Source organism: Homo sapiens, chromosome 17, assembly GCF_000001405.40.
Source record: "Homo sapiens chromosome 17, GRCh38.p14 Primary Assembly".
NCBI lineage: Eukaryota > Metazoa > Chordata > Mammalia > Primates > Hominidae > Homo > Homo sapiens.
The window spans coordinates 45,620,077-45,647,618 of NC_000017.11; the positions used below are offsets into that span (position 1 = coordinate 45,620,077).

Consider the following 27,542-nt stretch of genomic DNA (forward strand, 5'->3'; position numbering starts at 1 on the left):
GACGCTCTGTCAGGATTCCTATTCCTATTCCTCCCACCTCAGGCCCCCTTCTAGTCCTCTCAGCCAAAAGCCTCTCGTTTCCAAGGGCTGAGACAGAGACAGAGACAACGAGATGCACAGAGACAGAGACGCCAAGGCACCTGCATCCCTCTTCCCCTTCTGTCCCGCCCCATCGCTCTGACGGACACCATTGCTCAGCCAATGGCGCTCACGATGTGCCCCTGAAGGGCCAATGAGCGCCAGAGGAGGGCGGAAGATTCCCCGCCCCCACTTCTAGGCTTGGTTGAACCGTGCAGGTAGGTCCGGGGCTGGGGGAGCTGCCTTTGGCACTGGTGCCCCTGGGGGTGGGGGCACGAGTGGGCCAGGGTGATGGTGAGGTAGAGGAGGTGTCCCTGACCCGACGAGCTCGAGGGAGCGGCCTGGCTGGGAGGCGGGGGGCCGCGGGGCCCGGGGAGCGGGCGCCGCCGAGGGCCCTGGAAGCGGCGGGGCTGGGGGAGAGGGGACGCGTGTGTGGGGCACGGGGACGCCCGCCCAGCGCCCACTCGTAGGCCTGGGACGCGGGCTGCCGGCCGAGTGGCCTGAGGGCCTGGCTGCCCGGGGGGCGGGCCGGGGCCGCGGCCGGGGGCGCGGAGCGGAGCTCGGGGCGCCAGGCCGAGCCGAGGTGGGACGGACCGACGCGGAGAGGAAGGGAAGCCGCATCCCGCGGGGCGCCCCTCCTGAAGCGAGCCGGGCAGCGGCCGCGGGCGCCCCTGCCCTGAGCCCACCCCGCGCTCTGCCCTCCCTAACAATGGGAATGGGGCAGAAGGAGGCGCCCCACTGCGGGGAGGTGAGGGGTGGGTTTGGGACTGGGGTCCGCGGTGGGGGGAGGTGCGATCTCGGGCTCTCGCCTCTCCGCTCCCTCTGGCTCTGGAGTTGGGGGCCCCTGTGGGGCTCTGAAGTCCGCCTGAGACTTGGGTCAAGAGTCAAACTGTCGCCCCCCGCTCCTCCCCCAAAATCCGGTGAGCGGTAAGGAAAGTGATGCCAAGTCTTCGAAGCCTCAGTGACAAACGCATAGCAAGAACACATCCACTCCAGAGGTGTTTATTTTTTATTTTTATTTAAAAAGGGGTACTTTTCGACATTTATTTTTAAGAAGTGGGTGCTGTTATTTTTGTCCCTACGCGGGCAAGCCTCCATTTTAAGCGAAGCAGTAACTGGTTAAGCTGGAATTGTATACAGGCCCAGGACTTGAACGAGGATCCTACCAGAGGTCATTTAGTCCATCCTCCTGCCTCCAGGCAAATTTACCTTCCTCCCACCCTCAAAATTAAGTTGCTCGGTCTGCTTTTAACGATCTCTGGGGAAGAAGGGTCCTTTATTTGTTTCTAGTACTTCAGTCAAGAATAGGTTTTACTTTTCATGTGGAATTGACTCTGAAACTTAAGCATAATCTTGGGACAGTCGGGATGATTAGAGAAGTTTTACTTTACTAAATATAATTAAATGTGGCAAGGGTCTTTTTTAGACGGTTAATTAACAAATCACGTTTAGTGTTTATGAAGTACCCTGGAAAATTACTTTATTCTCTCTGGGATTTTGGCTAATTGTTTGATAAGCAATTTTACATTATCTAAAATACGTGTTACATATTTATTTCTCTTTTTATGTAAAGTATGTTTCTACACACATATATATGGAGACACACATTTGCCCTTTTCTAAAGGGGACTGTATTTTCTATACTTTTTTAGTGCGATGAGGCAAATAGTACTTCAAAATCCCTGCCCAGGTAGCTTAAACTATTTGCATTGTCTTGATTATTTTTTAGTCTAAATGAAAATCCTCTCTTTCAGATACCTTCTCGAAACAAAAGATTTTCCTACCTGCTTATACTTGGTAACCGAGGGAATTTCTAAGACTTCTTGCTCATTTCTGAGTATTGTCTTTATATCCTGACACTATGAATGCTACTTGGATGCCTCTTAAGGTAAGATGTGTTATTTTTTCATTACCAGCCTCATTTTATTCATTTTTCTTTAGAATTGGGAATATTGTAGTTTTTGAATTTGCTATTCTTCACTTCCTTTACCTGCCATTTCTCTTGCCTCTTGTGTTTGCTTCCTAGGATTGATTGGCTATATCTTACTTTGTATCTCTACTGTTCTTTGATTATCGGTGTGAATGTTTTAATGAAGTTCTCAAATTAACTTCCATTATAATGAAAGGCAGTGATCTTTTTAACTTTAAATTATGGCAACTTACATAGTTGTAAAATTATGTTCCGGTCTTAGGATGGGTTGGCAATTCAAACATCTAGGTCCACTTTTCAAACAGGTACTTTAGAGTCATAGGTACTAGGGTGTGTCCCACTCTTGCAAATCAGTAGCTGATTCACGTGTTACAAAAGATGTGTCATTAACCATTTGTTTACTCTGAAACTTCATATAGTATATTAGGGCATTCTAAGACCTGCTGGTTTACACGTATGACTCTTTCAGAGTCCTCCTGCTGCACCCCAGTCCTTTGTGTGACATTTCATACTATTTTTCTCAGCAGGTAGCACTTACACCAAGTTTTATTTCACAGGGTAAACCTCATTTGGACAGTGTGGACAGATGACCTTTAGATGAAAAAGCTCCCATTGATGTGGTTCTCCAGTCTCTTTGGCTCCTCTAATCTCTTGTACATAGATGGCCAAAGAACTCTCCATTAGGACTAAGCAAAGGGCAGAGCTTAAGACTTAAGTAGGTGGCTTCTTTGATTTTCTTGTGACTAAAAATACATTAAAAAATAAAATTAAATAAAAACAAACAGAAAAGACGTAAGGAGGGGATGGGAGGAAGGACAGAGAAGGATAAGGAGTCTTGGAAACCCTCCACCAGCTTCGCCTTTCTTCAGAGTTGGATACTAGCTTAGTTAAGATTGTTGGGTGCTAATCTGCTCTGTGGACTTCCAGATTGATGCAGAGGAGAAATCAGACAATAGTGCAGTGTGTGTAACCTATATATCTGGACTTGTGGGAAATCTTAGGTCATGTAGGCTGAGTTCTCATCTTCATTTATGTTTCAGCTGCTATTGCTGGATAAGAGTGCTTATATTAATATACAGGAAGCCAAAGTGACACAGTTTTTCCAGCATTCTCCCTGTAGAGTTGGAGGGGTTGCATGGGGAATGCAACCAGAAGTTCTGAACCCGTTAAGAATCAGAGGACCTGTGTAAGAGTGTTTCGACTTAGCAAGTGTTGAGCACCAGTGTTGGTGGCCTCTGTCCTCTTTAGGAAGCAGGCAAGGGGATTGAGATCAATACATTGGATTTCATTTTATAGTTTCCTAGGTTTTAACGAATGTATTTGGTACACAAAGCCCTACTTTTAAAGCTATTTCCAGTGTTTAAGGTTTTACCTCTAAATCTCTCTGAACCTGGGTTGTAATACAGTAACCTCAGAAGTTCTACTAGAGGTCTCTGGCATGGCAGGAATAGAGAAAGGAAATCAGCTCCATATCGTGAGTTACCACCTGTTACTACTTAAGAATGCAGTTAGGTGGTTGCCTTAATATTATGTTCCTTACCAATCCTTTGCTCAGTGGGAAACATCTTCTAAGTGTAAACCAATTTTTGGGGGTAATGTTTTCTTCCTATTTTTATTACTTAGAAACCTTAAAAATTACAGTGTTCGTCTGGTCAGAAAAAAAGGTCCTTTTTGCGGGGAGGATAGCATTGAGTTTGTGGGCTGGAAAATAGAAGTGGGGAGAGGGAACTTTATTCTCTTTTTCATTGGTGAATATCCTTAAAACATTTCTAAGATGTAGTTTCAGATTGGAGCTACTTAATTTAAGTAAAAAGAAATGATAGGTTAATTAAAGTGCATATTTTGGAGCCCAAATGTTTATTTTATATAGATCTTATATTTTGTTTCCAATTATCTTATTGTAGAATGAACTCTGTCGTTCTGTCAGGCATTGCGTAAATGTTAGACTGAGTATGTGCTTGTTTCCATGCGTATAGAAAATAGCGTCACACTCACTCAGTCTTCACAAATGAAAATGCCAGAGGAGGCAAGTAACAAGGAAGAATAACTCCAAACCAAAACTCCTCAATTTAAGGCACTCTCGTTAATTAGAAGTTCTCATGGAAATTATTATTTATCCCTTTTTCTCTGTGTTAGGGGTCTGTACCTTTTTAAAGCCTGAATATTTCTAGCCACGACTAAGCAATGTCAGTGATGTTACTAGGGTCTAGTTGTCAGGGTTAGGGCTAAGGAGTGGGTGAGATGGGAGAGGAATAGGGAAAGGAAGGAGAATTGAGTGAGTTGGAGAAAAGAGTGAAATGAAGATGAGGAGGAGAGAAAAGATACAGGGTCTTTAGTGTGTAGCATGGAGCCATCATCAGTTGTCTCAGGTAGTTCTTAGGGCTGCTGGATGCCTTGTGTGCTAGACTGAACTATGGTGAAATGAAGTAAAAACTGTTCTTGACAAGCAAAACGAGAGAATTAAAACATAATTTAATATGATATAGAAAGATCTGCAAGGCAGACAGTTAAGTGATGAAAGCAAGATGCAGAACAGTATGTATGATTTGATACCCTTTGTGTTTTTTGGGAAAAAAAAACAGGAGAAAAAGATAATTTGCATTGGTGTATGTATGCAAAAAAACAAAAAAGATATTTAGGGCTGGGCATGGTGGCTCACACGTGTAATCCCAGCACTTTGGGAGGCCAAGGTGGGTGGATTACCTGAGGTCAGGAGTTTGAGACCAGCCTGGCCAATATGGTGAAACCCCGTCTCTACTGAAAATATAAAAACTAGCTGGGGCGTGGTGGCACACACCTGTAATCCCAGCTACTCGGGAGGCTGAGGCAGGAGAATTGCTTGAGCCTGGGAGACGGAGCTTGCAGTGAGCTGAGATCACGCCACTGTACTCCAGCCTGGCTGACCAAGCGAGACTCTGTCTCAAACAACAGCAACAACACAAAACTTTAGAAAAATAAATAAGAAAATGGTGGCACTGGTTACCTGTTAGGTCTAGGAATTGTTCAGGTAGAGGACAGAGTAGGGAGGAGACTTCTCATTGCATTATATCTTTTTACACTTTCTGATGTTTGTATCAGATTTTAAAAATTAAATAGAAAATTGAAAATTTTAGCTGGGCGCAGTGGCTCACGCCTGTAATCCCAGCACTTTGGGAGGCCGAGGAGGGCGGATCATGAGGCAACATGGCAAAACCCCATCTCTACTAAAAATACAAAAGAAAATTAGCCAGGCATGGTGGTGTGCACCTGTACTTGCAGCTACTTGAGAGGCTGAGGTGGGAGGATGGCTCGAGCCTGGGAGGTGGAGGTTGCAGTGAACTGTGATTGCGCCCCTGCAGTCCAGCCTGGGTGATAGAGCCAGACCTTGTCTCTTGTCTCATTAAAGAAAAAAAAAAATTAACTTGTTCTTAAAGTTTTAGTAAAAACAGGTTTTCATTGTATATCCCCTTAAGTTAGCAATTAGATATAATCTCAGCATTCTTCTTCTTTTTTTTTTTTTTTTATGAAACAGAGTCTCGCTTTGTTGTCCAGGTGATCTTGGCTCACTGCAACCTCCACTTCCTGGGTTCAAGTGATTCTCCTGCCTCAGCCTCCCGAGTAGCTGGGATTACAGGCGCCTGTCACCATGGCCAGCTAATTTTTTTTTTATTTTTAGAGAGATGGGGTTTCACCAGCTTGGCCAGGCTGGTCTTAAACTCCTGACCTCAGGTGATCCACCCGCCTCGGCCTCCCAAAGTGCTGGGATTACAAGCATGAGCCACCGTGCCCGGCCTAATCTCAGCACTCTTAACCGTGTGACTTTGGGCGATTTCTTAATCTCTTAATTTCTTAATCTCTCTGAGATTCAGGTTCCTCCTTCATACTGGAAATAATAACACTTACTTCAGAGGACTTTTGTATTATATCTGTAAAGGACATAGGGCAGTGTTTGGCTCAGTGGACTACTACTTATCGTAATTACTAATTTTTTTTTTTTTTGAGATGGAGTCTTGCTGTGTCGCCCAGGCTGGAGTTCAGTGGCACGATCTCGGCTCACTGCAACCTGCGTCTCCTGAGTTCAAGCAATTCTCCTGCCTCAGCCTCTCAAGTAGCTGGGATTACAGGCACATGCCAGCATGCCCGGCTTGTTTTTCTATTTTTAGTAGAGACGGGGTTTCACTATGTTGGCCAGGCTGGTCTCAAACTCCTGGCCTCAAGTGATCCACCCGCCGTGGCCTCCCAAAGTGCTGGGATTACAGGCGTGAGCCACCACGCTAGCTCTTATTGTAATTACTGTTAATAATAGCTCCTCATAGCCTAGTGGTGAGAGAGAGGGCTCTGGCTATGTGATATTGGGTAAGCTCATTAACCTCTTAGAACCTCGGCATCCACACCGTAAAAAGGGTGTAATGATAGTACCTAGATCCTAGAGTGGACTTTATAAGGATTAAATGAGTTTATTCACGCAGAGTGTTTAGAACAGTACCTGGTAGGTACTTAGTAAACCTGAGCTGCGAATTTTCTTATGACATCTGTTTGCTAAGGCTGCTGCCACAGAGTGACATATGCTGAGTGGCTTAAATAACAGAAATTTATTGTCTCCCTGTTCTGGAGGCTAGAAATCTAAGGGCAGAGGCATGCTTTCTCTGAAGCTACTGGGACAGGATCTGTTTCAAGCCTCTCTTCTAGCTTCTGGTGGCAGCATAACTCCAGTCCTTATGTAGAGTTCTCCCTGTGTATATTTCTTTTGTTTTTTTAGACAAAGTCTTGCTCTGTTGCCCAGGCTGGAGTGCAGTGGCATAATATTGGTTCACTGCAACCTCTGCCTCTCAGGTTCAGGTGATTCTCCTTCCTTAGCCTCCTAAGTAGCTGGGATTACAGTCACGTGTCACCATGCCCAGGTAATTTTTTGTATTTTTTGTAGAAACAGGGTTTCACCATGTTGCCCAGGCCGGTCTTGAACTCCTGACCTCAGGTGATCTGCCTGCCTTGGCCTCCCAAAGTGCTGGGATTACAGGCATGAGCCACAGCACCCAGCCTAAATTTTGTATTTTTTGTAGAGGCAGGGCTGCACCTTGTTGCCCAGGCTGGTCTCAAACTCCTGACCTTAAGTGATCTGCCCACCTCAGCCTCCCAAAGTGCTGGGATTACAGGCGTGAGCCACTGCGCCCAGCCTCCCTGTGTGTATTTCTTTGTGTCCACAATTTCCCCTTTTTTATAAGGACAAGTCATAATGGGATTAGAGTCCTCCCTGATGACCTCATTTTAACTTTATGACCTCTTTGGAGATCTTATCTCTTTCTTTTTTTTCAGAGTCTCTCTTTGTTGCCCAGGCTGGAGTACAGTGGGGTGATCTCAGCTCACTGCAACCTCCTCCTCCTAGGTTCAAGTGATTCTTCTGCCTTAGCCTTCCAAGTAGCTGGAGTTACAGGTGCTCGCCACCATGCCTAGCTAATTTTTACATTTTTGGTAGAGATGGGGTTTCTCCACATTGGCCAGGCTGGTCTCGAACTCCTGACCTCAAGTGGTCCACCCACCTCGGCCTCTTAAAGTGCTGAGATTGCAGGCGTGAGCCACCGCACCTGGTCTGAAGATCCCATCTCTAAGATCACATTCTGAGGTACTGAATGTTAGGAGTACTACATATCTCTTTTTTTTTTTTTTTTGAGACAGGGTCTCCCTTTGTCATTCAGGCTGGAGTGCAGTGGCACTTGGATCACTGCAACCTCCAGCCCCCCATCCTCCCGTATACTCTAAATCAGTGGTCCCCAACCTTTTTGGCACCAGGGACTAGTTTCGTGAAATATAATTTTTCCACAGAGCCGGGGGCCGGAGAGGGGGATCAGGGATAGTTTTGGGATGATTCAGCACATTGCATTTACTGTGCACTTTATTTCTATTATTATTACGTTATAATATATAATGAAGTAATTATACAAACTCACTGTAATGTAGAATCAGTGGGAGCCTGAGCTTGTTTTGCTGCAACTAGATGGTTCCATCTGGGGGTGATGGGAGACAGTGACAGATCATCAGGCATTAGATTCTCATAGGAGCACGCAGTGTAGATCCCTCACGTGCAGTTCACAATAGGGTTCACCCTCCTATGAGAATCTAATGCTGCAGCTGATCTGACAGGAGGTGGAGCTCAGTTGGTAATGTGAGCCATGGGAATGGGACGCGGCTGTAAATACCGATGAGGCTTCTCTCACTCACCTGCTGCTCACCTCCTGCTGTGCAGCCCCATTCCTAACAGGCCCAGTTCTTAAGAGTACTGGTCTGTGCCCCAAGGGTTGGGGACCCCTGCTTTAAATCACCTCTAGATTAGTTATAATGCTGAATACAACATAAATGCTGTATAAATAGTTGTGAAACGCTATTGTTCATGGAATAATGACAAGAAAAAAGTCTGTACATGTTCAGCACAGATGTAGTTTTTTTTTTTTTCCTGAATAATTTCTATCTGTGGTTGGTTGAATCCATGGATATGGAACCCATGGATGTGGAGGGCCAATTCTATAGTAACAAGTCACTGTCTCATTCCTGTCCCTTAACCATTCGGTTCCCCTCGCATAGACAACTTTTTTTTTTTTTTTTGAGACAGAGTTTTGCTCTTGTTGCCCAGGCTGGAGTGCAATGGCTCGATCTCGGCTCACTGTGACCCCTGCCTCCTGGGTTCAAGCGATTCTCCTGCCTCAGCCTCCTGAGTAGCTGGGACTACAGGTGTGTGCTACCATGCCCAGCTCATTTTTGTATTTTTACTAGAGATGGGGTTTCACCATGTTGGCCAGGCTGGTCTCAAACTCCTGACCTCAGGTGATTTGCCCACTTCGGCCTCCCAAAGTTCTGGGATTATAGGCATGAGCCACCATGCCTGGCTGACAAACATTTTTATTTCTTATATATCTGTCCAGACATATTTTATGTATATACTGGCAGCTCTATATACATATATTCCCATTAAAAAACACATTAGTAGTATACTATTCATGTGTAAATATACTTTTTTTTTTTTGAGATGGAGTTTCACTCTTGTTGCCCAGGCTGGAGTGCAATGGTGCGATCTCGGCTCACTGCAACCTCTGCCTCCCAGGTTCAAGCGATTCTCCTGCTTCAGCCTCCCGAGTAGCTGGGATTACAGGCGTGTGCCACCACGCCCAGCTAATTTTGTATTTTTAGTAGAGATGGGGTTTCTCCATGTTGGTCAGGCTGGTCTTGAACTCCCGACCTCAGGTGATCCACCCGCCTCGGCCTCCCAAAGTGCTGGGATTACAGGCATGAGCCACTGCGCCCGGCTGTAAATATGCTTTTTGTAGGTTCTCTTAGTTCAGATGTAGGACCAGTCTGATGTTAGGTTCTTAGGTAAGGACCTATATAAAGATAGTATAAAATGGTACCTAATATTACAAAGCTTTTTTAGGAATGGCAAAGGGATAATATGGCAGCTTCCTCCCTGTCAGTTCTGCATTGGTGACTAAGGATCTCAAATTTCTGGATAATCTGGCTTGCTTAGTTACGACGAGAGACCAGAACTTGCTGATAGCATATGAAATCTTCGGGGGAGTTTTGAATGTTTTTCATTTTTTAATCTGATATGATGTAGCAGACATGACATTGACTCACATGCAAGCCCCAAACATGCCGAAGCTGCGGGAGCTCTCTATCAGCCATAGTAGGCTGCTCTGTTGCCGTTGGTTCAGGCAGCTGTTGAGTGGGCCTGGGAGGCACGGAGGGAAAGGGAAGAGGGCCGGCACTGGTTTACTCTCCTAGACATAGTCGTGAAATCTCATGGTCAAAGGAAACCAAGAAGTCATCTTATCCTGCTACTATTTTCCTTCCAGGGTCTCTTCTGCAGGGTCCCCATGAATTGTGGCTGAAGTTGTGCACAAACAAGTATCTCCAGTGACAGGAGTGCCTTCTGAGGCAGCCATTGCATCTTCATCTGCTGACACTCTGCTAGGCTGACTTCTGTAGTTTTCACCACTGATCTTCAGTCCACCTCACAGAGCTCTATAAAACGCTTAAATCCTCTTTACATCATAGACTTTCAGCTACTTGAAGATAGCCATCAGCCGCTACGTGACTCTTTTCTCCAGGTAAAATCTCCAATTATAGCAGCTGTTCTTCATATGGCCTAGTGTCTAATGCCTTTGCTCTCCTGATCATTTTTTGAATTTTTTCAGTTTGCCCCGGTCTCAGAGTGTGGGATCCAGCACTGCCCATATAACGTTCCCAGGATGTTCTGACTGATGTAGAGTAAGCCTGGTATCACCCATGTCCTAGGAACTGAGACCCCGTCACTACTGGTGATGCAGCCTAGGATCAAACTGTTCTTTTGGCAGCCACTTCACATTTTTGTGTTAAGGGCTTACTCTTAGCCAAACACAAATTTTGTTTTGTTTTGTTTTTTGTTTTTTCCGAGACAGGTTCTCACTCTGTCACCTAAGCTGGAGTGCAGTGGCACCATCTCAGCTCACTGCAACTGCTGCCTCCCGGGTTCAAGCAATTCTTTTACCTCAGCCCCCCCAGTAGCTGGGATCACAGGTACGCGTCACCACGCCTGGCTAATTTTTGTATTTTTAGTAGAGATGGGGTTTTGCCAAGTTGGCCTGGCTGGTTTCGAACCCCTGACCTCAAGTCATCTGCCCACCTTGGCTTCCTGAAGTGCTGGGATTACAGGCCTGAGCCACCACACCTGGCTGACAGATTGTTGTTATCATTAATGTCACATGAACTACTGCCAAAGGCGTCTCCCCTTCTTGTGCTTGGAGGGTGTGTTGGATGCCACCTGTGCCCCTCCCTGGAGATGCTTTTGGCCCCACAGCTTCCTCCAGCCAATGTAGCAGTGACTGGGTCTGTGCAGGTTTTGGTCACCTTCACTCAGGTGTGATGGGGTGGTGCCTTTCTTTGGCCTGCCCCAGGTATCTTTTACTTTTTGGGATGTATTTGATGCTATAGTATGGAATGCTGCAGAGACTTCCGGCACCAACCCCCTGGAGTTGGACTTTATTTCACAGGTTGAGGGCACCATCCTCCACAAGAATCCCCAACTTCAGCCACCAGCTGGCAACAGGTTTGGGGGTCCTCAGCCCACCCTCACTTCTGGCCAGATGGCTACAAATTTGGCGATTTCCACTACCCCCTCAGGTTTGATCACTTGTCAGAATGATTCACAGAATTCAGGGACATGCTATGCTTACAACTACAGTTTTATTAATTGATCAATAAAGCAAAAGGATATAAATGAACCAGTCAAAGGGAAAGACACATAGATCTGGGAGGACACCAAACGCAAAGCTTTCATTGTTCTCTCCCCGTGGAGTCAGGGGCTGTTACCTTTCCAGCACATCGATGCGTGACAATGTATAGAGTATTGCCAACCAGGGACGTGCTCCTGAGCTTCAGTATTTGTCATTTTTATTGGGGCTTCCTTGCATAGGTACGATTGATTGAATCATTGGCCATGTGACTCAAACTTTAGCACCCTCATTTCCCCAGAGGTGATCTTGTTAGCATCCACTATCTAGGGGCCCACTCTGAGTCACCTTGTTAGCATCAACTTAGAGGTGTGGGCCCGCTATGATAACAAAGATACTGCTGATCGGGCGCGGTGGCTCACGCCTGTAATCCCAGCACTTTGGGAGGCCGAGGCGGGCGGATCACAAGGTCAGGAGATCGAAACCATCCTGGCTAACATGGTGAAACCTTGTCTCTACTGAAAATACAAAAAATTAGCCGGGTACGGTAGCGGGCGCCTGTAGTCCCAGCTGCTCGGGAGGCTGAGGCAGGAGAATGGTGCAAACCCGAGAGGCGGAGCTTGCAGTGAGCCAAGATCGCGCCACTGCACTCCAGCCTGGCGGACAGAGCCAGACTCCGTCTCAAAAAAAAAAAAAAAAAAAAAAAAAAAAAGATACTGCTATCACTCTGAAAAGTCCAAGGGTTTAGAGGCTACCTTCTAGAAACTGGGGACAAAGACCAGCCAAATTCATTACTATAAGATGCCCATAGGAATCTCTTGGTGTTCATACCAATGTGACCCAGAAGTATGGGTGGCCTAACACCTGTTGAGTTGTTCTTGAGCAACAGGGAATGGGTACTGAAGGATACTTGTTTCCTCTTTTGTCCTCTGGGTGGACAGTTCTGACAGGCATTTGATATGGCTTCTTAGAATGTCCAACAACGGTGAGCAGTGGTCCCATAGTGGGGGCCCAGCTTGATAACTCGTCCTTCTATTGTCTGTCCCTCCTGCCCTGTTTTACTCCCTCAGCCCCTCATTCCTGATCTCTGGGATCACTTCCCAAAGAACGTACCTGCACTTAAGCTTTTGTCTCAAGTTTTGCTTTAGAGGGCTAGCCCTAGAATGCTTTTATTATACTAAACTTTACATGTTTTAAAAAACAATGTTTTGGCCAGGGGCAGTGTCTCACGCCTATAATCCTAGCACTTTGGGAGGCTAAGGCAGGCAGATCACCTGAGGTCAGGAGTTCGAGACCAGCCTGACCAATATGGTGAAACCTCGTCTCTACTAAAAATACAAAAATAAGCAGGGTGTGATGGTGTGCCTATATTCGCAGCTAATCGGGAGGCTGAGACAGGAGAATTGCTTGAACCCAGGAGGTGGAGGTTGCAGTGAGCCGAGGTCACGCCACTGCATTCCAGCCTGGGCTGCAGCAAGACTCCATCTCAAAATAAATAAATTAATTAATTAAAAAAAAGTTTTTTTCCCTGACGTGGAAATTAAGTGATTAGAAAACGAGACTAACTTTTTCAGGATATATTCTTGTTGTTAATATGGTGCAGGGCTGTGATGCTTCTGCAAAATGTAAGTTGAGTGTATAGCAGGCCTCCTAACTCTAGAGATGATGTATCCTTCCGTATCGATTGCCTTTGTGAAGTCACACACATAAGCAGGGAGAAGTCGTGAAGATACATAAACAGCTGCGTTTTCCAGGCTCAGATCACTAACATGCTCGTGATTTCTTTCTAGGTCTGATTTTTATGGTTGACAGTAATGACAGAGAGCAGATTGATGAGGCCTGGGAAGTGCTAACTTACTTGTTAGAGGACGATGAGCTCAGAAATGCAGTTTTATTGGTATTTGCCAATAAACAAGTATGTTGTTATTGGCTTTCTGAATGCTGGAACTGAAATTTACTGCCAAATGTCTCACTTGTAAATACAGACATTTAAATGAGATGTCTGCCTCCCTCTCTCCAGTACCAACCATAATATCTCCCACCATCTCCTTGCTAGAATGTCTTTTTTTTTATTGAGACAGAGTCTCACTCTGTTGCCCAGGCTGGAGTACAGTGGTGTGATCTCAGCTCACTGTGACCTCCACCTCCCGGGTTCAAGTGATTCTCCTGCCCCAGCCTCCCAAGTAACTGGGATTACAGGCATGCGCCGCCATGCCCACCTAATTTTTGTATTTTTAATAGAGACTGGGTTTCACCATGTTGGCCAGGCTGGTCTGGAACTCCTGACTTCAAGTGATCTGCCCACCTCGACCTCCCAAATTGCTAGGATTACAGGTGTGAGCCACTGAGCATCTACTAAGTTCCAGACTTGGTTTTAGGCTTAAACCAAGACAGATAAAGTCCTTGTGTTCTTGGAGTTTACGTTGCTAGTGGGAAGAGAGTCAACCAATAAATAACATGAAATGTGCCAGGTGTGGTGGCTCATGCCTGTACTCCCTACACTTTGGGAGGCTGAAGCGGGGGGAATCACTTGAGCCCAGGAGTTCAAGACCAGCCTGGGCAACATAGTGAAACCCCATCTCTACAAAAAAGTACAAACATTAGCTGGATGTGGTAGCATGCACCTGTGGTCCCAGCTATTCAGGAGGCTGAGGTGGGAGGATCACTTAAGCCTGGAAGTTCGGGGCTGCAGTGAGATGAGATTATTCCATTACGCTCCATCCTGGGCTACAGAGTAAAATAAATAATAATACGTGTCAAATGGTTTTTAAGTGTTGTGGAAGAAGCAAAAGCATAGTAAAGGGGCAGGGCGGGTGTGGGAAAGACTGGGAATGCCTCTCTGATGAGATGACATCTGAGCGGAGACCAGAAGGCTGGGAGGAAGGGAGCCACACGATTCTAGGAACAGCATGGGAGCCAGTGCAGCTGGAACAGAATGAGCAGGGGAGAGAGAGAGGAGATGAGATTGAATCATATAGGGCCTGTTTTGGAGGAGGAAAAGGGCTTGTACATAAATGTAAAACAGTAAAAGAAACATGGGAGGAAGACCAAGCGTAGAACTATCCAGCCTCAGGACTCTGAGCTAAACTAAGCATGAAAAAGAAGGTAGAAAGAACCACGTGGAATTGTACCAGTCTGAGATGACCACCGTCACATTCTGACATCCTTCCTTCACTTTCTCTTCCATGAGTGCATTCATTATGTAATTGTGATCATACTGTTGTGACAATGTTGCATCCTGTTTTATCACTTTAGATTTATCAAAATCATTGTCTCTTGTTTTCCAACTCTTTGTAGACCTGATTTTAAACGGTGGATGGATCATCATTTGTACAACCGTTACTCTCACTGTTCAGGTTCAATGTCAGTCCAGAGTTTGCACTAGTGAACATATGACTATTAAAGAAAGAAAATGACTCTGGAGGGTGTGTGTGTGTATGTGTGTGTGATTTTTTTGTTTTGTTTTGTTTTGAGACAGGGTCTTACTCTGTCGCCCAGGCTGGAGTGGAGTGGTGCGATCACAGTTCACTGCAGCCTCGAACTCCTGGGCTCAAGTGATCCTTCTTCCTCAGCCTCCCAAGTAGCTGGGACTGCAGGCACGTGCCACCATGCCCAGCTAATTTTTTAATTTTTTTGTAGAGCTGAGATCTTGCTATGTTGCCCAGGCTGGTCTCAAACACCTGTGCTCAAGCTGTCCTCCCACCTCAGCCCCGCAAAGTGCTGGGATTATAGGTATAAGCTACCGTGCTTGGTGCCTCTGTTGTTTTCAATGATAAAAACAGAATGTTCTCATGGTATAAATACGCATACAGTTGAGAATATTCAAGTGAAATATTCTGGTGCTACTATTCATTGTTAAATTTATTCTTTCTCTTTCCAGAGGTCCAACTTTCTCTGCCTGTGTAAACAATTGTATGATTATGTTCTTTCACTTAGTATATCTTGGAAGTCCTTCCATATCAGTACATCTACAGCTACTTTAATTAATTAATTAATTTATTTATTTATTTATTGAGATGGAGTTTCACTCTTGTTGTCCAGGCTGGAGTGCAATGGCGCTACCTTGGCTCACCGCAACTTCCGCCTCCTGGGCTCAAGCAATTCTCCTGCCTCAGCCTCCCGAGTAGCTGGGATTACAGGCATGCGCCACCACTCCTGGCTAATTTTGTATTTTTAGTAGAGACGGGGTTTCTCCATGTTGGTCAGGCTGGTATAGAACTACCAACCTCAGGTGATCCGACCACCTCGGCCTCTCAAAGTGCTGGGATTACAGGTGTGAGCCACCGTGTCCAGCCTTACTTTGTTCTTTAATGCTGATTTATTCAAATTTAGTTTGAGCTTATTCTGTGCCAAGCACATTTCAAGGCACTTGGGATACATCAGAGGACGAGATAGACCAAGATTCCTGCCCTTGTAAAGCTTGCATTCTAGTTAGGGGAGACAGATAGATAGTCAATAATAAATATACTTAAATAAGTAAATGTCGTGATATAGTAATGTATGGTGAGTGCCATATTGAAAAGATGGAACAGACCACTTCGTTGAGGTCTCCGGTCCAGGAGGCTTTGTGGACCATAAGGACTCTGACTCGTATCCTGAGAGAGGGGGAGCTGTTGCAGTTTTGATAGAAGAATGATTCAATCTGATTCACCGATGGCTGGGTTGAGAATAGGCTTCACGGGAGCAAGAGCAGAGAAGTAGGGAGGACAGTTAGGAAGTTATTTCAGTCATCCAGGTGAGAAGCGATGTGGTGTCAGATCACGGCGACAGCTGTGGAGTTAGTAAGTGGTCAGATTCTGGATAAATTTTGATAGTGGAACCGTTAGGAGTTCCTGACAGATTGGCTGTGACATTGAGAGTAAAAAAGTAAGGATAATTTCAAGCTTTTTGGCCTGAGCAACTGGAAGGTTGGAGTTGCCATCAACAGAGAAGACTGTGGGTTTGGGCACGTTTAACAGGGAAGAGCATATTTCGCTATATGGATACAACAGTATACATTGACTTTTGAATGTTCTTTTTCAAGGATCTCCCTAATACTATGAACGCGGCAGAGATAACGGACAAGCTCGGCCTCCATTCCCTCCGCTACAGAAACTGGCACATTCAGGCTACTTGTGCCACTACTGGACATGGGCTTTACGAAGGCCTGAACTGGCTCGCCAACCAGTTCCAGAACCAGAACTGATCAGAAGGATCTATTCTTTGTGCCTTGTGGCCACATCAGCTAGCCTCTGCTGTGTGCACGTGTACGTGTGTGCTGGGAGTGGAGGCAGCTTTCTCACAGTGCCTTATCCATGCCATAAGAAAAGCAGTGTTACATTTTAAGAAACCCAGTGTTAAGTTTTAAACACCACCTTCCATTTCAGTAGCTTTGATGATCATTTTTGCAATTGATGGAGAAGTCCAGAGGGCTTGCTGGTGCTCGAAGGCCAGAGCGGGCTTCATGGAGGCGAGTTGGAGCGGGGACTGAGTTCAGCTGTTGCAATCCTGGTCTGGCGTCTGGAGTCCTGTTAGTCTTTGGCATCCTTTCGTAAAAAGGAAGGAATTGTCATTCTTTTTTTTTTAAAACCATATTTTTACTGTACCTTTTCATGTTTATTTATTTTTTATTAAAAAAATTTTTTTTGAAACAGCCTCCCACTCTGTCGCCCAAGCTGGAGTGCAGTGGTGCGATCTCAGCTCACTGCAACCTCCGTCTCTCGGGCTCAAGCAATCCTCCCACCTCAGCCCCCTGAGTAGCTGAGACTATGGGTGTGCACCACCACACCTGGCTAATTTTTGTATTTTTTGTGGAGACAGGGTCTTGCCATGTTGCCCAGGCTGGTCTGTAACTCCTGAGCTCAAGGGATCCACCCACCTCAGCCTTCCAAAATGCTGGGATTACAGGCATGAGCCACTGCGCTACCGAGAAATCGTCATTCTTTACCACCACTGCTGCAGCTAGCAGCTCACTCTTCAGTGCTTTAAGCAAATGATCCTCAGGAAAGAAAAGGTATTTGCTTATTGCAGGTGCAAAGAGGCTCAGATTGGAACTTTTCCCTGAAACTATATTGTAGCCCAGAGTTCCTGATGTAAGACGCTTTATTTAAAGACATCCGTGAGCTTTTTCACTGGCATATCAATACTTCATAACACTAGGAAGGTATCCAGCCTTTTCCTTATGCTAGTTCCTTCCCTTATTTGCCAGATGGGGACCCTGTGGGGAGGTGACCCAGTGTGAGGCCGAAGCTCTTTCCCAGAGCCCCACAGGCCAGTGGAGGGTCGTGTTTGTGCTCTGGGCATCACCGTCTTGGGTCTCGGTCCCCTGCGACTGCAGCTGCTACATCCCTCCCTGCTCTGAGATAAATGTTCTTCCCATGAAGCAGACGGTTCACTTTTGGGATGGCGCTGTCTCCAGGTTTGGCTGTCTCAGTCCAGATGATGTTTGGTTAGTTTCCATTCCCAGAACCACAAGCCTTTGAGTTCTGAAAGTTTGTGACAGAATCAAGAGGCTAATTTGGGAGATGTGAGATTCCCAGCCCACCTGGTATTGCCCTCGAGTTAGTGGTAAATTTTGCTATGGAAAATATCTCTTGTCAAGACCAAGCTCCGGCGCATTGCCTCCCTCTTTTGGATGGCCATGGCATCTCATGAACCACTTGGAAATGTGTTTTATGTTGTTCTCCAAATATTAATAAAAATATCCCGGAGAGGAGGTTCACTAAGTAGCCTAGAGCTCGTTTGTCCAGACAATTGTTGGCCATATTAGTACCTAAGCACTTCTATTTAAACTTTTTCTTCTTTTTTTTTTTCTTTTTGAGATGGAGTCTTGCTCTATCACCCTGGCTAGAGTACAGTGGCGTGATCTTGGCTCACAGCAACCTCTGCCTCCCGGGTTCAAGCGATTCTCCTGCCTCAGCCTCCTGAGTAGCTGGGACTATAGGCGCCCGCCACCACGCCCAGCTAAATTTTGTATTTTTAGTAGAGACAGGGTTTCATCATGTTGGCCAGGCTGGTCTTTAATTCCTGACCTCAAGTGATTCACCTGCCTCGGCCTCCCAAAGTGCTGGGATTATAGGCGTGAGCCACCACGCCTGGCCTATTTAACCTTCTAAAACTACTTTTTCAAGAAATATTTATTCGAATTATAGAAGATTGGCCAGGCACAGTGGCTCATGCCTGTAATCCCAGCACTTTGGGAGGCCAAGGTGGGAGAGTCGCTTGAGCCCAGAGTTTGAGATCAGCCTGGGCAACATGGCAAGAACCTGTCCCAAATTTAATATAATAAATTTTAAATAAAATTTTAAAAATAAAATTAAATAAAAAATTATACAGGAGGGCCATGTCAGGTGAATTTTAACTGAAGCAAACCTTATTTATTCATAACAATGAAGTTTATATTACTAGGAAAAAATTTCATTCCATGATAAATGTGTGGTATCATGTTTTTCTTCAAAATATTGAATTTAAAGAATGTTCATTGCAATACTGGCAACTAAGTCCAGATTTGCTTTTTAACCATGGAGTAATTTCTGAGAAATATTTGTTTTATTTTATTTTATTTTATTTTATTTATGTTATTTATGTTATTTATGTTATGTTATGTTATGTTATGTTATGTTATGTTATGTTATGTTATGTTATTTTTTTGAAACAGAGTCTTGCTCTTGTTGCCCAGGCTGGAGTGCAATGGTGTGATCTCTGCCTCCTGGGTTCAAGCGATTCTCCTGCCTCAAGCTCCTGAGTAGCTGGGATTACAGGCGCCCTCCACCACGCCCGGCGAATTTTTGTATCTTTAGTAGAGACAGGGTTTCACCACGTTGGCCAGGTTGGTCTTGAACTCCTGACCTCATGATCCGCCTGCCTCGGCCTCCCAAAGTGTTGGGATTACAGGTGTGAGCCACCGCACCCGGCCTCTGAGAAATATTTAGATTGTACGCCTCAAATGGGCAGGGACTGTGTCTTACACTTTTGTATTTATGCTACAGCTTACCTAATACAGTGCCAGGCCTCGTTAAACACTTATTGATTGCTCAGACGATAAAGAACTTGCTTTGGAAGGAGGAGAGGATAGTCATGTGCTTCTGAATGTATTGAACTTCTTGAAATCTCTTTCCTCATCAATTTTAGCAGAGTTTCTATTGAAACTCCTAGGGTGTGTTTATGGAAGACAAACTGAGATGTGCTGTCCCAGCCTTAGGCCCTGGCAGTACGCCTTGCCTTTTCACGGCACACCCACTACAGCCTTTCCCACACTGTGACACTGGAGCTGGTGAGTCAAAGTAAGTATAAGTGGGGAGCACTTTTCAGTACAGTAGTTTTAAGGAAAGACTTGGGTCTCTGAAAGCCATGTTTGCATCCCTGCCATGTCCCTCACTGGCTGCTAGCCTCAGGCCACTGACTCTTAGCCTCTGTATCTCGGAGCCTCAGTTTGCTTAACTGTTAAATGGGGATACTGATACCTGCCTCATAGAGTTATGAGGATTAAGTGTCTCCTACCTTTGAATGTCTTGCTCCGGTGTTTCCCTGGAGATATCTTGTCCAAGTATGAACAGCAGTGCTGGCCACAAACTCATCAGCATTATTATTATTATTATTATCATTATCATTATTATTATTATTATTATTGAGACAGAGTTTCACTCTGTCACCCAGGCTGGAGTGCAGTGGCACAATCTCAGCTCACTGCAACCTCTGCCTCCTGGGTTCAAGCGATTCTCGTGCCTCAGCTGCCCGAGTAGCTGGGATTACAGGCGTGCACCACCACATCTGGCTAATTTTTGTATGAGTAGTAGAGACGGGGATGCACTATGTTGGCCAGGCTGGCCTTGAACTCCTGACCTCAAGCGATCTGCCCGCCTTGGCCTCCCAAAGTGCTGAGATTACAGGCGTGAATCACTGCGCCTGGCCACTTTTAAAACATTTCTATCACCCTGAAAAGAAACCCTGTACCCTTTAGCAGTCACTCCTCATTTCCCCTGTCCTCCGCAGCACTGGGCAACCACTAACCACTGACCTACTTCCTGTCTCTAGATCTGGTGGAGATGCTTTTTAAACTTTTTTTTACTACCCTGTGGTCCCTGAGGAGCATTACACTGAGAAGTTTTCTCCTATTTTGTCTTTCATTCTCCACATCCTCTTTTGTTCTAGTGCATGGCATGGGAAGCCCTCTCTAGGAGGATGCTGTGGCCACACAAGTGCTGGACGAACCGCTGGAGTAGGTGACTTCCAAGGTGTCCTGATGTAGTAGCTATTAGACAAGCTCCTGCATTTGGCCAGTAATTAGCATGCTGCTGCACATTGCCACTAGGTGGTGCTGCTGCTCCATTCCCAAGTAACCCACATGCATCCCTGGCTGGGGTCAGCCTTGGGGTTTCCCAAGTGTAGAGGAATCCATCTCTGTGCCTGTGGTAATGGCTGGACACCAGGAGAGACCCAGAAAACAGGGATATCCTAGAAGAGAAAGGCAAAATAAGCACTCAGAGCAGAGGACATTTGAGTGTCAATAATGAAGGTGGCAGCAGTAATCATGGCTATCATTTACTAAAAATAGTGGATATTGGCCAGACATGGTGGCTCACACCTGTAATCCCAGCATTTTGGGAGACCAAGGTGGGTGGATCACTTGAGGTCAGCAGTTCGAGACCAGCCCGGCCAACATGGTGAAACTATCTACTAAAAATACAAAAATTAGCCAGGTGTGGTGGTGCACGCCTGTAGTCCCAGCTACTTGGGAGGCTGAGGAAGGAGAATCACTTGAACCTGGGAGGTGGAGGCTGTAGTGAGCTGAGATCGCATCACTGCACTCCAGCCTGGACAACAGAGCAAGACTGTCTCAAAAAAAAAAAGTAGATACTGTGCTAGTCACTTGATACACATCATCTCTGATCTTTGCACTGAGCGAGGCATGTGTATTATGTCTGCATTACAAAAGGGGAAAAATTAAGGTTCAAGAAGATAAAGTCACCAGGCATGGTGGCGCATGCCTGTGATCGCAGCACTTTAAGAGGCTGAGACAGGCGGATTGGTTGAATCCAGGAGTTCAAGACCAGCCTGGGCAACATAGTGAGACCTCATCTCTACAAAAAAAATAAAATTAGCTGGGTGTGGTGGTGTGTGCCTGTAGTCACAGCTCCTCGGGAGGCTGATGTGGAAGGATCACTTGAGCCCGGGAGATAGAGGCTGCAGTGAGATGAGACTGAGCCATTGCACTCAGCCTAGGCAACAGAGTGAGACCCTGTCTCAAAACAAAACAGAAATAACAAAAAATAAGGTGACTTGCTGGAGGCCACATGGCTGTGAGCCAAATACAGGTCTGGGTTATCAGGGCTCACATACTTCTAAGTACACCCTACTGCCTTGGAATCTGCTGAAGACCAAGCCCCTGCCCCCAAGCCATGGCAAAGAAGGAGGGAAGGAAGCAAAGGTGCCCAGCGGGGACAACTCGGGGAGGGGCGAGGTGCCCAGGGCCCAGGAAGGCCAAGCAGCATGTGGCAGGGCAGCATCAGGTGACTCCCAAGAAGGAATGAGGAGAGGATATGAGGAAAGAGCCACAGCACAGAGGCCTGCTGTTAGGTCAGCGGAGACCACGGCCCATGGGACCTGGATCTACCCTTGATGCTAACAATGTTCTTTGGGGAAAAAATCTATAATCACAAAGTTTCTGCAACTGGACTGTAGTCATGGTTGCAGAACTGTATAGATTTACTAGGAACCATCAAATTGTTCACTTACAATGGGTAAATTGTACAGTACATAGGTTATCCCTCAGTAAAGCTGTATGAAATTTATAGTCATGAAACTAATAGTGACAAACGAGCTGGGTAAGTAGGTCTCAGCTGTTCTGTAGGCACTTTGAGAAGAGGAAGAGTAGCATCTCGGTTTTAATAAAAGAAAGCCTGGCCCATGGCGTCCAGCTTCTGCTTGAATACTTTCAGTGCCCGGGAGCTCAGTATCTCAAAGCAGCCCACTCCTGTTTAAGAGAACTCTAAACCTTAGAATGTTGAAATACATCATTATTATTCTAGTACTGCTGTGAAAAATAAATGTCTTTGTTTTGCCACATAACATTTCTCTGAGAGCTTGAGGACAGTTATTGCATTTTCCCAAGTCATTTTTATCTCAGACAGAATTCCCTGATGACCTGTAGGTTTTTTGTTTTTTTGTCTTGTTTTGTGTGTGTGTGTGTGTGTGTGTGTGTGTGTGTGTGTGTGTGTGTGTGTGTGTGTTTTGGAGATGGAGTCTCTGTCGCCCAGGCTGGAGTGCGGTAGCATGATCTTGGCTCACTGCAGCCTCCACATTCCGAGTTCAAGCAATTCTCCTGCCTCAGCCTCCCAAATAGCTGGGATTACAGGCGTGAGCCGCCACACCTGGCTAATTTTTGTATTTTTAGTAGAGATGGAGTTTCACCACATTGGCCAGGCTAGTCTCGAACTCCTGGTTTCAGGTGATCCGCCCTCCTCGGCCTCCCAAAGTGCTGAAATTACAGGTGTGAGCCATTGTACTTGGCTCTCCTTGTGTTTTTTACAGGACAAGATTTCCAGCCTCTCCCATTCTCCCATTCTCCTGGTAGCTCTCCAGGAGCTACCCCTTTGATCTGTCCACATCCTTCTTAAAATGTGGGGACCCATGGGGAACCTGAGATTCTGCAGATGCCAGCCCAGTGCTGTGTGGTTAACAATTTGGATCCTAGCATTAAGACCCCGGGTTCAAATCCTTGCTCCACTGTAGGCCAGCTGTGTGACCATGGTTAAAAACATCTACCTTACTGAGCTCTAATGTCATCATCTAAGTTATTGTGAGGATTGTACTGACCCACACTTTCTATCTGCCCAATCCCTTGAGGTGGGCTCAACCTGGGTTGGCAATGGTTGGGCAAGGGAGAGCGATCAAAACAGCAAACTGTCACACTGCTGATAAGCCAAGCAGAGACACAGCCACCATTAGGAGAAGGGGCTCTTCCATCTCTATCTATCAGGCTTTTCTCTCATGGAGCTGTAACCCCTGGTAAAGGAGGTGAGGAACTTGCTGGGGGGAGCACACAAACACCTGCTGATGTGCCTGACTTGGATACCCAGGAAGTTGCTGGCTTTCTCTTCCTTTCCCCAACATTTTTATTTGTTTGTTTGAGGCAGAGTCTTGCTCTGTCACCCAGCCTGGAGTGCAAAGGCGTGATCTTGGCTGAGTGCAATGGCATGATCTTGGCTCACTGCAACCTCCGCCTCCTGAGTTCAAGTGATTCTCCTGCCTCAGCCTCCTGAGTATTTGGGACTACAGGCGTGCGCCACCTCACCCGGCTAATTTTTGTATATTTAGTAGAGATGGGGTTTTGTCATGTTGGCCAGGCTGGTCTCGAACTCCTGACCTCAGGGGATCCACCCGCCTCGGCCTCCCAAAGGGTTGGGATTACAGGCATGAGCCACTGCGCCTGGCTGGCATTTTTTTTTTTCAACATAGTCTCCTCTTGATCTCATCCTTTGTCCACTGCACAAACCCCTCCCCAAAACGATCCCCAAGGAGGGGGGCTCCCGAACTAGATCATCCTAGGGTAGGCCTACCCGGTTCAATCTTAGCCGGGTCTATGGTGCCATCTGATTGAAATCTAACTTGACTCTCTTCTCACTGACCTCTTCGGGGTCCCAGGGGTGTAAACATCCTGCAGCCTTCCGCCAGCCTTGTGTCTTCAATGTTCCCCTCCATTCATGACTCTCCTCACTGTATTTCTACTAACTTACTCTTACATACAAAACAGATCTTTCCCCCTTCCTGTACATCAGATATCATTTTGGATCGATACTACACCCAAGGCTGGGTGTGGTGGCTCATGCCTGTAATCCCAGCACTTTGGGAGGCCGAGGCAGGCAGATTACTTGAGGTCAGGAGTTTGAGACCAGCCTGGCCAACATGGTGAAACCCCATCGCTACTAAAAATACAAACTTAGCCAGGCATGGTGGCGCGCGCCTGTAGTCCCAGCTACTTGGGAGGCTGAGAAATGAGAATCACTTGAACCCAGGAGGTGGAGGCTACAGTGAGCCAAGACTTCACCACTGCACTCCAGCCTGGGCAACAGAGGAAGACCTTGTCTCAAAAAAAAAAAAAAAAAGAAAAAAGAAAAAGAAAGCAGACTACACCCCCGGGTACTTACATAAATGAGATCATTTCTGTAAACACAGCGCAGTAGCAGCATCTAGTATAATAAGCACTCAATAAATACGAGCTATTATTGCTGAGGCAATGCATATTGGGGCTCTTTTTCTCCATCCTCTTGTGTAGCCTAAGTTTGCAGCTGTGTTTGGCAGCCGCCTCATACTAATGAAGCACACTGGGCTTGGGATCATTTCAGACCTGCAGATCTCTTTTGCATGAAATGCAATGGGGCCGGGGCTCCCTCTTCTGCATTTGTGCACCTGCTTTTAAGAACATAATGAATGATTGGCATTTGTCTCTTTTCATTTCATCTAGGCTTTGGCCCATCATCCTAACCTGTTGGCTTCATTTTGAATTTTGGATTTTGTTATTGAATGCATCAGATCTCCCTCCAAGCTTTGCTTCCTATAAATTTGATACCCATGACTCATAAGTCATCATCTGAGTCATGATAAAAAATACTGAATAAGGCTGGGCACGGTGGCTTACACCTGTAATCCCAGCACTTTGGGAGGCCAAGGCAGGTGATCACTTGAGGTCAGGAGTTGGAGACCAGCCTGGCCAACATGGTGAAACCCCATCTCTACCCAAAATACAAAAATTAGCTGGGTGTGGTGGCACCCACCTGTAGTCCCAGCTGCCTGGGAGGCTGAGGCATGCAAATTGCTTGACTTTGGAAGGTGGAGGTTATACTGAGCTAAGATGGCACCACTGCACTCCAGCCTGGGTGACAGAGGAAGTCTCTGTCTGTCTGTCTCTCTCTCTCTCTCCATATATATATATAAAATTAGATGGGGACATACCATCAGAAACTTCCCTCCAGCTTGATTCATTTGTGTAACAGTAACAGATATTTACTAAGCACCTATAATGTGCTCTGTAGTGGACACTGTTCCATTCATTAGATGTGGATGTTCAGCCATCTATGTAACTTGGCTAATCATACTTTAAATCTAGCCCTTATTTCTCCATCTTATCCACCAGGAATCCTGAAAGATTCTATCAAGTGCTTTGCTAAAATTAAGTATACAATATGCGTAGCAATGCCTTCATGTACCAATCCCTCAGCAATGGAAATAAGGTTAATTTGACTAATTACTCCTAGTAAGCCGCTTTGACCACTGGTAACATCTGCCATCTTTTATAAGCCTATCTGATTGCAGATCAACCTCAGACATACCCATCTGTAGTTTCTGGAATCCACCTTCTCTCTCTCACAAACCTGGGCGACATTTGCTCATCTCTAATTTTTCTCCACCCTTCTCAGCTTCCTGACTTCTCAATATTTACAGTAGGAGTTTGCAATCACACAGTAAAGGTCTTGGATATATTTAGTTGGAGTTAAGAGCGTTGGGCTCCCATAAAGCAGTAGGGCTCTCCTTGAGTTTAGTTTATATATATTTAGTTGGAGTTAAGAGTGTTGGGCTCCCATAAAGCGGAAGGGTTCTCCTTGAGTGCTGCATCATCTGTCTTAGATCCCGATTTCCCCATAATCATGTTTATTATCCTTTCCAGGTTGAAGATTATTCTCTCTTCTAAAGAAAATAGAAGAATATTAGGAGAAAAGACACTTGAAAATGTTCACTCTTTTATTCACATTACATCATCTGTCTTGAATAATGGGTCTATCTCTTTCCTGTTGCTCTGGCCCTGAAAAAAAAATTAGCTTTTTAAGGCTGCTTTTGTTACGTGTGCATTTTCTTGTAATCCCGTCATTCTGGGATTTAATAATAATAGTATTAATACCACCTACCATTTGTTGGTTACTTACTGTGTTTTAGGCACTGTGCTAAACGCCTTCCATGTATTCATCTCATTAGTAAACATTTCTGAAACTATTCTTACAATTTGTCTTTTAGTTTTTCTTGTTCTTGTCCTCTTAAAATCTGAGCTTAGCCATGAGCTCTCAGTGAAGCTGCTTGTATTTCTTTAAAAACCCTCTTTGCTTCCTCCAAGTGGAGTGGGTTGTACTTCTGAGGTCAGGACAAACTGGGCACCGGAGGAGTTCAGCCTTCCGAGGCTGCAGGAGGGGTGGGTCCCCTGAGGCGAGCAAGATGATGTAAGGCCTTGACTTGGGGTAACAGACAGCCACAGATGGGAAGAGAGAAGCCAACATTTAACCACGGAAGGATGTGAAGGGCGGAGAGGTGGGTTGAGCACTGGGCCCCGGGTGCGGGGAGTGGGAAAAGGTCCAAAGGTGAAACCTGGGAAGCCTGGGCTTGGGTCTGGAAGTGGAGAGAAGGAAGTCGTTCCAGGGGGAGCTGTGAGCAATGTGAACCCATCATTTCTGTTTTCACCAGCGAGGGTGAGAATTGAGTCCACAGGAGTGGCTCCCTCCTCTGCTTCCTCGACCTGCAGAGGGCTAAGTGGGGCAACGAGCAGGGTAAAACTTTTCAAGATGCTCTGCTCTTAGCAGAATGAGCTGTTCTGACCATTTCCCAAGAGCCAAATTTCCTCATCAGTCCTGAATGTTGCCTCTGTGCTATGATTTGCGTTAAAAAAAAGATACAGTCTCCCCACTGTGTTGTCAAATCTGAAATAAGGGACTGTGTTTTTGCAAAATTCTCTTCCAAGGCCAAGCACAGGGTCAATGTTCAGCAAATATTTGGTGAGTTAATGAATGAAATGAAAGCACTCTCCTTATGCTCCTTGGCTGAGTGATGTGGAGAAGAGTTCCAGAACAATATAATTTAGTTTCTTTCTCCTTTTAACCGAGCCTAGAAATTCTCCACAAGGCATATGCAAATACCCCAGACATGTATTTTTCCAGGCGTGTGTTTTATGTGCAAATACTCCTGCATATGTATGATTTTATTTTACTTTTTGAGACAAGGTTCATTGTCCAGGCATTGTCTAATGCACCAGTGCATTGGTGCCATCTCGGCTCACTGCAGGCTTGACTTTCCGAGCTCAGGTGGTCCTCCCACCTCAGCCTCCCAAGTAGCTGGGATGACAGGTGCACACCACCATGCCCAGCTAATTTTTTGTATTTTTAGTAGAGGTGGGGTTTCACTATGTTGTCCAGGCTGGTCTTGAACTCCTGGGCTCTAGCAATCTGCCCACCTTGGCCTCCTAAAGTGCTGGGATTACAGGCATGAGCTTCTGCTCATATACGTTACTTGTTCATCTGACTGAAGACCCCAAAAGAGACCAGCACCCCAAAGAAGCATGTATTTCTCTTTGGAACCAGAAGCAAACATCCTTCTGTTTGCTTGGGATGCATGGGATGAGCA

General features: G+C 45.8%; 1 protein-coding gene, 1 long non-coding RNA gene and 1 pseudogene across 8 annotated transcripts in view; all 3 read left to right on the forward strand.

The window, feature by feature from the left end:
* Window positions 1-252: 252 nt before the first annotated feature.
* LINC02210 (long intergenic non-protein coding RNA 2210) lies at window positions 253-26,155 on the forward strand. 6 transcript variants are annotated; one of them, NR_138259.1, is made up of 7 exons: window positions 253-296; window positions 1,832-1,965; window positions 9,828-10,082; window positions 16,207-17,610; window positions 19,317-19,444; window positions 20,313-20,379; window positions 25,825-26,155. It is a non-coding gene; the product is annotated as a long intergenic non-protein coding RNA 2210 (long non-coding RNA). The 6 variants fall into 6 exon arrangements; NR_138260.1 differs by lacking the exons at window positions 16,207-17,610; window positions 19,317-19,444; window positions 20,313-20,379 and adding exons at window positions 10,170-10,242; window positions 10,413-10,530; NR_138257.1 differs by lacking the exon at window positions 25,825-26,155 and having other exon boundaries at window positions 16,207-17,325; window positions 18,841-19,444; window positions 20,313-22,231.
* Window positions 270-27,542, forward strand: part of LINC02210-CRHR1 (LINC02210-CRHR1 readthrough) — a 215,483-nt gene continuing 188,210 nt past the window's right edge. Inside the window, exons 1-3 of one of the 2 annotated variants that reach the window (NM_001256299.3) lie at window positions 270-296; window positions 1,832-1,965; window positions 9,828-10,082. The gene's annotated coding sequence lies outside the window, so the exon portion shown is untranslated. Of the gene's footprint in view, window positions 297-1,831; window positions 1,966-9,827; window positions 10,083-27,542 lie in introns of those variants that run through there. The other variant, NM_001303016.1, reaches the window with a different exon arrangement.
* ARF2P (ARF GTPase 2, pseudogene) lies at window positions 12,869-19,326 on the forward strand (annotated as a pseudogene).